The sequence below is a fragment of the Homo sapiens genome, chromosome 2 (genome assembly GCF_000001405.40).
Source record: "Homo sapiens chromosome 2, GRCh38.p14 Primary Assembly".
Taxonomy (NCBI): domain Eukaryota; kingdom Metazoa; phylum Chordata; class Mammalia; order Primates; family Hominidae; genus Homo; species Homo sapiens.
In genome coordinates, this window is record NC_000002.12 from 120,039,529 (window position 1) to 120,051,761 (window position 12,233).

Genomic DNA, 12,233 nt, shown 5'->3' on the forward strand with positions numbered 1-12,233 from the left:
TGAAAGTAATTTTGTGGCCAGGCGTGGTGGCTCACACCTGTAATCCCAGCACTTTGGGAGGCCAAGTTGGGCGGATCACCTGAGGTCGGGAGTTCGAGACCAGCCTGACCAACATGAAGAAATCCCATCTCTACTAAAAATACAAAATTAGGTGGGTGTGGTGGCGCATGCCTGTAATCCCAGCTACTCGGGAGGCTGAGGCAGGAGAATTGCTTGAACCCAGGAAGCGGAGGTTTCAGTGAGCTGAGATTGTGCCATTGCACTCCAGTCTGGGCAACAAGAGTGAAACTCTGTCTCAGGAAAAAAAAAAAAAAAAAAAGAAGAAAGTAATTTTATGAATAAGCTAGAAGAAGTTGTTTAAGAAGTGGGGTATCTGACTTACTGATCTCAGGTGACATTCCAGGTGAAATCTAGATCAGGTATGTATTCCTCAGTGAATTTGAACTTGGAAGGTAGAGCAAAATTCAAATTCTAGCGTTGTCATTGTTTTAAATGTAATTTTGTCATATTACTAAAGCTTTCTGAACTTTTGTCTGTGCTTTTTATATATATATATATACGTATTTAAATGGATAAGTAATATGTGCTAAAAAAAAGATGGCAGCACTGACGTAGGAAACTTAAAATGACAAAGGAGAAATATTTGAGAAAACAATAGAGGTTGACGTCTAGAATTAAAGAAATATGAAAGATCTCAGGTTGAAGAGGTCCATATAGAATACAATATGATTAAGAAAAACTCACACTTGTACACAGTACAGTGAAATTAAAGAGTCTAAAAGTGAACAAGTAACATTACGAAGAAAGAAAATTGAGATTGACATCACACTTACCAGTAGCAGTGTTGACTGCAAGAAGATAATGGAATAAATTTTTTTTGAGTATGGAGAAAGTATTGAAAGAAACTGTGAACCTTGACATTTCTACCCATCCAACTGTCATTCGAGTGAGGGCATGATTAAAATATTCTCAAATATAGAAGGCCAAAGCCTTAGAAGATAAGCCATACAAAAGCCACATGGGAAACATTTTTGGAGAAAGAACTCAAATGAGTATTTGCAAATCTAGCAGATGCTGCAGGACATGTAATGTACACATGTAAGGCATGTACATTTTTGAAATACCCAAGTAGAAGTTGTTGTCTTTAAAAAGTTAGCTAAGAATAAAAAAGAATAAATAGAAGTATGTCTATAAAACTTGATGGGAATTGGGTGGAGGGGAGATTAGAGGACATGAAGGCATGGTCAAGTTCTTGATGAAAGGAAATATAGATGACAGATTTACTTATCTAAAAAAGCAAAGGACAAGTTGAGATAATAAACTTGTCAGTTAAAAGGCAGAGATTGATATGATAAACCAACTATATGTTCATTTTTTAATAGGAAAATACTATAAATCACAATTTAGAATTCTACAGATGGGAGAGGCATGGATGAGCAGTTATGAAAATTGAGGATCCCAACAATGCTTTTGCTTATGTGGATTATACCTACCAATAGTTACAGTATTAGAAATTAAAACTGAAAAAATTTTAAGTATTTATTAACTGATTAATCAATAATTGTCTATTAATATAGCAACAACATACCCCTTTTATGTTAACGTAATATAAAACATATTATAAAAATAACTATTTTCTAAAACAACAAAGAGCTTAGAAAAGTGGCATTGTTTTAAGCACTTTTGCAAATCTGTTTAATGTCTGGTTTAATAGAAGGTACTTGGATTCTCTTATCTGCTTCCACGTTCACTGTGTTGCAATGTGTTGTTTTGTTTCAGGTATATAAGAAACCTAGGACCTCATGAATCTTTTGAAAGGGTCTTGGAAACCCTCGGTGATCATGAGACCACATTTTGAGAACTGCTTTTTCCATACAAAGTTTCTTTCCTATTTATTACCCTACTATTTGGTGTCTTCTGCATCATCACAGTACTTTTCTTATGCTCTCATATTCCCCGCACCTCCCAGTTTTATTATTTCTTACCTTACGTTCTCTTCCAGTTTGATTCTTCTGCATCAAGCCTTCATTGATTATTCTAGTTTCTGTCTCTTCTCTAAAATCTGTTTGCAAGTGTAGTTTCACATATTTTGTACTAAAGTACTCTTAAGTTTTTTGTATTTTCTTTGTCCAATGACATTATGGCCCTTTTAAAGTAGGGACTCTAAAAATTGATTACAACACAAGAATTTATCCATACACACACACAAATATTTGTATCTCAAAATAGGTAATTTTTGTTGGTTGATTGGAAGTAACACTCTCCAGGAAAACACATAAATCGCAAATTTGTTTTTGGCCTTAAGTGATTTATTAGAAAACTGTAATGTCTTATGCATTATCTGCCACATGCTAATACTTTTGGTATTGCAAGTCCTCCTTTCTTCAAGAGATCTTGTATAACTAAAACCTTCTTTTGTTCAGGCTTGTTGATCTTATAAACCACTTATTGATTTACTTATTATCTTGCCATTTCAGAAAAAAGCCAAAGGACAAGAGTTGTTTGATCAGATTATGTACCACCTGGACCTGATTGAAAGCGACTATTTTGGTCTGAGATTTATGGATTCAGCACAAGTAGCAGTGAGTAACTGTTTTTTGGAAGTTTTAGCATAAGGAGAAGAAACAGGAAATTTCAGATGATATACTAATTGCTATAAGGCTTCCTATTCTTGATGTGTTATTGTGATATAAAGCTTTGACACCGCTCCCTCCCCCCACCTCCTTGCTTTAGCATCACCTGAAGTACTTGTTTTAAAAAATGTGAGTTCTGGTCCTAATTTCCTAACCTGAATTACAAGAACAAAAGTTTTCAGGATGGGGCTCCAGAATCTTTGTTTTTAATAACTGTTGTCTGGATTGTTGGGCACACAAGAATTTGAGAAACACTGTGTACTGGAAAGAATGCTAGAATGGGAGTTTCATGGGCTCTTGGGTAAACAATAGTAGTTTTTAATTTGCAAATGAAGTTGAGTAGACTAGGATATCTCTAAGTTCCCTTTCAGATCTGTGATTCTGTATCTATAAATAGTGGTACTTCGACATGCATTTCTGACAAGAGAACAGCATACATAATGGAGTAGAAAGTTGGAGGCTATTCAAATAACTGATTACTATATTAGGATTTTACTGGAGGATGTTTGAAAGAAAGTGGCAGATGAAAACATTGGGAGGTGGTTTAGTGGTTATATCATTCAAACTGAATGCCCAAAGTATTAAATAATAAATTGGCAATATTTACTCTCAAATAATTGGGATTAGGTAGTCTTCAAGCAGGGAGGTTTTATTTTCCTTCAGGAAGTTTTTTGTAGAGATATGTAGGATTTGGAATGGGGAGAGATTGAAGTCAGGGAAAGTTATTACAAATACTTTAGGATAAAAGTAATATTAAGGCCTGGACAGTAGGAGGCAGAGGAAGAGACCACAGATGATAAGGATATCATGGCATTAAGCCTTTTTTTCTGGAAATGTGTGTGTGTGTGTGTGTGTGTGTGTGTGTGTGTGTGTGTGTGTGTGTGTGTTTAGAGGGGAACTCCCAGCTGACTTTATAAAGCATCTGGGCTAAGTTTACAGCTGTGAATAATTTTAGCTGTCATTTTTTCATGACAACCCTTCCCATCATGCCTCCAAATTAAGTAACCATGAGCATATGGCAGCAGGGTATTGGTTAGGCAAATTTTGGCGCATCCTTGAAATTAATACTATGCAGCTCATTAAAAATAGCGGTTTTGGGCCATGCATGGTGGCTCACACCTGTAATCCCAGCACTTTGGGAGACTGAACCGGGAGGATTACTTGAGGTCAGGAGTTTGATACCAGCCTGTCCAACATGGCAAAACCCTCTGTCTACTAAAAATACAAAAATTAGCTGGGCCTGGGCATGGTGGCGTGCCCCTGTAGTCCCAGCTACTCAGGAGGCTAAGGTGGGAGAATCGCTTGAACCCGGGAGGCAGAGGTTGCAGTGAGCCAAGATTGCGCCACTACACTCCAGCTTGGGTGACAGAGCGAGACCCTGTCTCAAAAAAAACAAAAAGATGATTTTTATTTAAAAAAAAAAAAAATTAGCTGGGCGTGGCGGTGCATGCCTCTAGTTCCAGATAGCTGGGAGACTGAGGCGAGAGGATCCCTTGAGCCCAGGAACTTAGAGTTGGAGGCTGCAGTGAGCTGTGATTGCACCACTACACTCCTAACCTGGGTGACAAAGTGTGAGACCCTATTTCTAAAACAAAATGGTGATTTTTAAGTATTAATATGCTAATTGATATGGAGTGGTAGAAGTAGTCATAAAGGATTATAAGGCAGTATAATTGAATTTTTCTATTTTTTAAAAAAATCTAGGCCAGGAGCAGTGGCTCATGCCTATAATCCCAGCACTTTGAGAGGCTGAGGAGGGAGGATAACTTGAGGCCATGAGTTTGAGACCAGCCTAGGCAATATTGCAAGACCCTGTCTCTACAAAAATAAAAAAATTAGCTAGGCATGGTGGTGCATGCCTATAGTCCTGGCTACTTGGGAGGTGGGAGGATCGCATGAGCCCAGGAGTTCAAGGTTGCAGTGAGCTGTGATCATGCCACTGCACTCTAGTCTGGGTAACAGAGCAAGACCCTGTCTCTTAAAAAAAAAAAAAAAAGGATATATGGCCATGCATATACATGAAAAAATTGTGAAACTATTTTTCATAGTTTCAGAGTTTCTAATCTCTTGGTGACATTAGTGTAGGAGATATTTCTTTTATTTTTCTTTCTAATGTTCTTAATTCTCTTTTATTAGACTAAATTCACTAATGGCAGGGAATTAGTCTTACGTACCTCTGTCCAGCAGGTAGTAGGCACACAAAACATTTGTTGAATTTAATTCTAGACTTCTGTTTAGTTTGATAAAATCTTGGTTGCCTATTAATTTTAATATCATTCAGCTTTCACTTCTAGAATAATAGTAAAGCCTTACAATCAGATGAATGAACAGATGATATTAAGGATAAACAATCTGTGACTTCCTGTTTTTTGAGGCAGTGTGAGGGAAAAGAAAGTAAAAGTATGCCAAAGTTAGGTTTGAGTTACTTAGTATTTAAGTAACTGTGGAAAGAAACATGCAGTCATTACTAAGTTGTATTATTAGCCCTTTGCTAATATTAGCAATTACTGAATTCCATATTGATTTTTTTCTCTCATTTGATACACATATAGTGCCTTTCTTGTCATAATAATAAATTTTTGGTAAAGCCAGGATTAGAATATTTAATCCCTACTCTTTAGTTCTAGTTTATTCCTTCCAGTAACCAGAAATCTAGGCATTAAAATTCAACTTATAGGCTTCTGTTTACTTCATTTTATTTTTGCTTCACTAAAACACTCTAAACTATGAGTTGAGCTGGAAGAAGAGTTAGTAGATTAAAGATATTAAAAATGAACTCCAGATAAGCTAAACTTTTCAAGTTCTTACTCACTTGATTCCATGAGTCTCATGACATAAACAATCAGCTTGTTGTGTGGCCATATTCAACCTCAGAATGAAATGAAACCAAAGTGGGGTGAAGGGAAGCGTAAAATGCGACCAAGGAATTACATGCTATAATTTCACCCTCAGCATATGGCATGTCCATATATGTAAGGTTAATGTGCCACATTTTAGTTTATTGGTCACTATAGATCAGTCCAAAACGTCTATGACTATAGAATTATGGAGTCATCATGGAGATAACCAAAATTAGTAAATCGATGAAGCCAAAGTTCACTTTTCTTCTTATATAGACATATAATCTGAGCCCTGTTTTTAAAATTGTTTACTTTTTATTAGACTGGGTTATTTTACGTTCATGTACACATATTTAATTTCATAGTTGAAACAATCTCATGTTTATAGAAAGTTGCAAGGATGGTATAAATAACCATGTTTCTGGGACCATGTGAGAGAGAGTTATAGTGAAGATGTCCCATCACACCTGAATTCTTTAGTGTATGTGTCCTGTAAGCAAGCACACTTCACAACTCAATACAGCCATCAAAACCAGGAAATTAACACAATGATAGTACCACCATCTTGTCTCCTTAGACTGTATTCAGATAATGTTAACTGTTCCTGGTATGTTTTTTATACCCAAAAGATCCCACAGAATCATGCTTTGCATTTTTTTCTTTTTTTAAAATTTTTATTATTATACTTTAAGTTCTAGGATACATGTGCACAACATGCAGGTTTGTTACGTATGTATACATGTGACATTGGTATGCTGCATCCATAAACTTGTCATTTACATTAGGTATATCTCCTAATGCTATCCCTCCCCCGTCCCCCCCTCAATGACAGGCCCTGGTGTGTGATGCTCGCCTTCCCAAGTGTTCTCATTGTTCAGTTCCCACCTATGAGTGAGAACATATGTTGTTTGGTTTTCTGTCCTTGTGATAGTTTGCTGAGAATGATGGTTTCCTGCTTCATCCATGTTCCTACAAAGGACATGAACTCATCCTTTTTTATGGCTGCATAGTATTCCTTGGTGTATATGTGCCACATTTTCTTAATCAGTCTATCATTGATGGGGTTTGGGTTGGTTCCAAGTCTTTGCCATTGTGAATAGTGCCGCAGTAAACATACGTGTGCATGTGTCTTTATAGCAGCATGATGTATAATCCTTTGAGTATATACCCAGTAATGGGATGGCTGGGTCAAATGGTATTTCTAGTTCTAGATCCTTGAGGAATCCCCACACTGTCTTCCACAATGGTTGAACTAGTTTACAGTCCCACCAACAGTGTAAAATTGTTCCTATGTCTCCACTTCCTCTCCAGCACCTGTTGTTTCCTGACTTTTTAATGACGGTCATTCTAACTGGTGTGAGATGGTATCTCATTGTGGTTTTGATTTGCATTTCTCTGATGGCCAGTGATGATGAGCATTTTTTCATGTGTCTGTTGGCTGCATAAATGTGTTCTTTTGAGAAGTGTCTGTTCATACCTTTCGCCCACTTTTTGATGGGGTTGTTTTTTTTTTTTTCTTGTAAATTTGTTTGAGTTCTTTGTAGATTCTGGATATTAGCCCTTTGTCAGATGGGTGGATTGCAAAAATGTTCTCCCATTCTGTAGGTTGCCTGTTCACTCTGATGGTAGTTTCTTTTGCTGTGCAGAAGCTCTTTAGTTTAATTAGATCTCATTTGCCAATTTTGGCTTTTGTTGCCATTGCTTTTGGTGTTTTAGACATGAAGTCCTTGCCCATGCCTATATCCTGAATGGTATTGCCTAGGTTTTCTTCTAGGGTTTTTATGGTTTTTAGGTCTAACATTTAAGTCTTTAATCCATCTTGAATTAATTTTTGTATAAGGTGTAAGGAAGGGATCCAATTTTAGCTTTCTACATATGGCTAGCCAGTTTTCCCAGCACCATTTATTAAATAGGGAATCCTTTCCCTATTTCTTGTTTTTCTCAGGTTTGTCAAAGATCAGATGGTTGTAGATGTGTGGTATTATTTCTGAGGGCTCTGTTCTGTTCCATTGGTCTATGTCTCTGTTTTGGTACCAGTACCATGCTGTTTTGGTTACTGTAGCCTTGTAGTATGGTATGAAGTCAGGTAGCATGATGCCTTCAGCTTTGTTCTTTTTGCTTAGGATTGTCTTGGCTATATGGGCTCTTTTTTGGTTCCGTATGAACTTTAAAGTAGTTTTTTCCAATTCTGTGAAGAAAGTCATTGTTAGCTTGATGGGGACGGCATTGAATCTATAAATTGCCTTGGGCAGTATGGCTATTTTCACGATATTGATTCTTCCTATCCATGAGCATGGAATGTTCCTCCATTTGTTTGTGTCCTCTTTTATTTTGTTGAGCAGTGGTTTGTAGTTCTCCTTGAAGAGGTCCTTCACATCCCTTGTAAGTTGGATTCCTAGGTATTTTATTCTCTTTGAAGCAATTGTGAACGGGAGTTCACTCATGATTTGGCTCTCTGTTTGTCTGTGATTGGTGTATAGGAATGCTTGTGATTTTTGCACATTGATTTTGTATCCTGAGACTTTGCTGAAGTTCCTTATCAGCTTAAGGAGATTTTGGGCTGAGATGATGGGGTTTTCTAAATATACAATCATGTCATCTGCAAACAGGGACAATTTGACTTCCTCTTTTCCTAATTGAATAGCCTTTATTTCTTTCTCCTGCCTGATTGCCCTGGCCAGAACTTCCAACACTATGTTGAATAGGAGTGGTGAGAGAGGGCATCCCTGTCTTGTGCCAGTTTTCAAAGGGAATGCTTCCAGTTTTTGCCCATTCAGTGTGATACTGGCTGTGGGTTTGTCATAAACAGCTCTTATTATTTTGAGATACTTTCATCAATACCTAGTTTATTGGGAGTTTTTAGCACGAAGGGCTGTTGAATTTTATCAAAGGCCTTTTCTGCATCTATTGAGATAATCATGTGTTTTTTGTCTTTGCTTCTGTTTATATGATGGATTACGTTTATTGATTGGCATATGTTGAACCAGCCTTGCGATCCAGGGATGAAGCCCACTTGATCATGGTGGATAAGCTTTTTGATGTGCTCCTGGATTCGGTTTGCCAGTATTTTATTGAGGAGTTTTGCATTGATGTTCATCAGGGATATTGGTCTAAAATTCTTTTTTTGTTGTGTCTCTGCCAGGCTTTGGTATCAGGATGATGCTGGCCTCATAACATGAGTTAGGGAGGATTCCCTCTTTCTCTGTCAATTGGAATAGTTTCAGAGAGAATGGTACCAGCTCCTCTTTGTACCTCTGGTAGAATTCGGCTGTGAATCCGTCTGGTCCTGGGCTTTTTTTTGGTTGGTAGTCCATTAGTTATTGCCTCAATTTCAGAGCCTGTTATTGATCTATTCAGGGATTCAGCTTCTTCCTGGTTTAGTCTTGGGAGGGTGTATGTGTCCAGGAATTTATCCATGTTTTCTAGATTTTTTGTTTATTTGCGTAGAGGTGTTTATAGTATTCTCTGATGGTAGTTTGTATTTCTGTGGGATCAGTGGTGATATCCCCTTTATCATTTTTTATTGCGTCTATTTGATTCTTCTGTCTATTAGTCTTGCTAGCGGTCTGTCAATTTTGTTGATCTTTTAAAAAAAAACAGCTCCTGCATTGATTGATTTTTTTGAAGGGTTTTTTGTGTCTTTATCTCCTTCAGTTCTGCTCTGATCTTAGTTATTTCTTGCCTTCTGCTAGCTTTTTAATGTGTTTGCTCTTGCTTCTCTAGTTCTTTTAATTGTGATGTTAGGGTGTCAGTTTTAGATATTTCCTGCTTTCTCTTGTGGGCATTTAGTGCTATAAATTTTCCTCTACTTTATAGCTCTGGGACACTGCTTTAAATGGGTCCCAGAGATTCTGGTATGTTGTGTCTTTGTTCTCATTGATTTCAAAGAACATCTTTATTTGTGCCTTCATTTCGTTAGGTACCCAGTATTCATTCAGGAGCAGGTTGTTCAGTTTCTATGTAGTTGAGCGGTTTTGAGTTTCTTAATCCTGAGTTCTAGTTTGATTGCACTGTGGTCTGAGAGACAGTTTGTTATAATTTCTATTCCTTTACATTTGCCGAGGAGTGCTTTACTTCCAACTATGTGGTCAGTTTTGGAGTAAGTGTGATGTGGTGCTGAGAAGAATGTATATTCTGCTGATTTGGGGTGGAGAGTTCTGCAGATATCTATTAGGTCTGCATGGTGCAGAGCTGAGGTCAATTCCTGGATATCCTTGTTAACTTTCTGTCTTGTTGATCTGTCTGATGTTGACAGTGGGGTGTTAAAGTCTCCCATTATTATTGTGTGGGAGTCTAAGTCTCTTTGTAGGTCTCTAAGGACTTGCTTTATGTATCTGTGTTCTCCTGTATTGGGTACATGTATATTTAGGATAGTTAGCTCTTCTTGTTGAATTGATCCCTTTACCATTATGTAATGGCCTTCTTTGTCTCTTTTGATCTTTGTTAGTTTCAAGTCTGTTTTATCAGAGAGTAGGATTGCAACCCCTGCTTTTTTTTTGTTTTCCATTTGCTTGGTAGATCTTCCTCCATCCCTTTATTTTGAGCCTATGGACGTGTCTCTGCAGGTGAGATGGGTCTCCTGAATACAGTACACTGGGGGGTCTTGACTCTATCCAATTTGCCAGTCTGTGTCTTTTAATTGGAGCATTTAGCCCATTTACGTTTAAGGTTAATATTGCCATGTGTGAATTTGATCCTGTCATTGTGATGTTAGCTGGTTATTTTGCTCGTTAGTTGATGCAGTTTCTTCCTAGCATCGATGGTCTTTACAATTTGGCATGGTTTTGCAGTGGCTGGTACCAGTTGTTCCTTTCCGTGTTTAGTGCTTCCTTCAGGAGCTCTTGTAAGGCATGCCTCGTGGTGACAAAATCTCTCACCATTTGCTTGTCTGTAAAGGATTTTATTTCTCCTTCACTTATGAAGCTTAGTTTGGCTGGATATGAAATTCTGGGTTGAAAATTCTTTTCTTTAAGAATGTTGAATATTGGCCCCCACTGTCTTCTGGCTTGTAGAGTTTCTGCCAAGAGATCCACTGTTAGTCTGATGGGCTTCCCTTTGTGGGTAACCTGACCTTTCTCTCTGGCTGCCCTTAACATTTTTTCCTTCATTTCAACTTTGGTGAATCTGACAATTATATGTCTTGGAGTTGCTCTTCTCGAGGAGTATCTTTGTGGCGTTCTCTCTATTTCCTGAATTTGAATGTTGGCCTGCCTCGCTAGGTTGGGGAAGTTCTCCTGGATGATATCCTGCAGAGTGTTTTCCAGCTTGGTTCCATTCTCCCCTTCACTTTCAGGTACACCAATCAGACATAGATTTGGTCTTTTCATGTAGTCCCATATTTCTTGGAGGCTTTATTCATTTCTTTTTATCTTTTTTCTCTAAACTTCTCACTTCATTTCATTCATTTGATCTTCAATCACTGATACCCTTTCTTCCAGTTGATCAAATCAGCTACTGAAGCTTGTGCATGCATCACGTCATTCTCGTGCCATGGTTTTCAGCTCCATCAGGTCATTTAAGGACTTGTCTACACTAGTTATTCTAGTTAGCCATTCGTCTAATCTTTTTTCAAGGTTTTTAGCTTCTTTGTGATGGGTTCGAACATCCTCCTTTAGCTCGGAGAAGTTTGATCGTCTGAAGCCTACTTCTCGCAACTTGTCAAAGTCATTCTCCATCCAGCTTTGTTCCGTTTGTGGCGAGGAGCTGCGTTCCTTTGGAGGGGGAGAGGCGCTCTGATTTTTAGAATTTTTGGCTTTTCTGCTCTGGTTTCTCCCTATCTTTGTGGTTTTATCTACCTTTGGTCTTTGATGATGGTGACATACAGATGGGGTTTTGGTGTGGATGTCCTTTCTGTTTGTTAGTTTTCCTTCTAACAGTCAGGTCCCTCAGCTGCAGGTCTGTTGGAGTTTGCTGGAGGTCTACTACATACCCTGTTTGCCTGGGTATCACCAGCGGAGGCTGCAGAACAGTGAATATTGCTGAACAGCAAATGTTGCTGCCTGATCGTTCCTCTGGAAGCTTCGTCTTAGAGGGGTACCCAGCCTTGTGAGGTGTCAGTCTGCCCCTACTGGGAGGTGGCTCCCAGTTAGGCTACTCGGGGGTCAGGGACCCACTTGAGGCAGTCTGTCCATTCTCAGATCTCAAACAGTGTGCTGGGAGAATCACCACTCTCTTCAAAGCTGTCAGACAGGGACATTTAAGTCTGCAGAAGTTTCTGCTGCCGTTTATTCGGCTATGCCCTGCCCCCAGAGGTGGAGTCTACAGAGGCAGGCAGGCCTCCTTGAGCTGCGGTGGGCTCCACCCAGTTCAAGCTTCCTAGCAGCTTTGTTTACCTACTCAAGCCTCAGCAATGGTGGGTGCCCCTCCCCCAGCCTCGCTGCCACCTTGCAGTTTGATCTCAGACTACTGTGCTAGCAATGAGTGAGGATCTGTGAGCGTGGGACCCTCCGAGCCAGGCACAGGATATAATTTCCTGGTGTGCCGTTTGCTAAGACCGTTGGAAAAGCTCAGTATTAGGTTGAGAGTTATCTGATTTTTCCAGGTGCCGCCTGTATTAGGTTGGGAGTTACCTGATTTTCCAGGTGCCGCCTGTCACAGCTTCCCTTGGCTAGGAAAGGGAATTCCCTGACTCCTTGCGCTTCCCGGGTGAGGCGATGCCTCGCCCTGCTTTGGCTCTTGCTCAGTGGGCTGCACCCACTGTCCAACAAGCCCCAGTGAGATGAACCCAGTACCTCAGTTGGAAATGCAGAAATTACCTGTC

The 12,233-nt window shown here is 39.0% G+C and overlaps 1 protein-coding gene across 13 annotated transcripts in view; it reads left to right on the forward strand.

Moving 5' to 3' along the window:
- Positions 1-12,233, forward strand: part of EPB41L5 (erythrocyte membrane protein band 4.1 like 5) — a 166,043-nt gene that overhangs the window by 26,452 nt on the left and 127,358 nt on the right. For all 13 annotated transcript variants that reach the window (NR_138472.2, NR_135920.3, XM_047445208.1 and 10 more), the window contains one exon: positions 2,478-2,582. Coding sequence is in view for 11 of the 13 variants with exons in the window: in XM_047445208.1 (XP_047301164.1) it covers positions 2,478-2,582 (105 nt within the window). In the remaining 2 variants the exon portion in view is untranslated. The remainder of the gene's footprint in view (positions 1-2,477; positions 2,583-12,233) is intronic.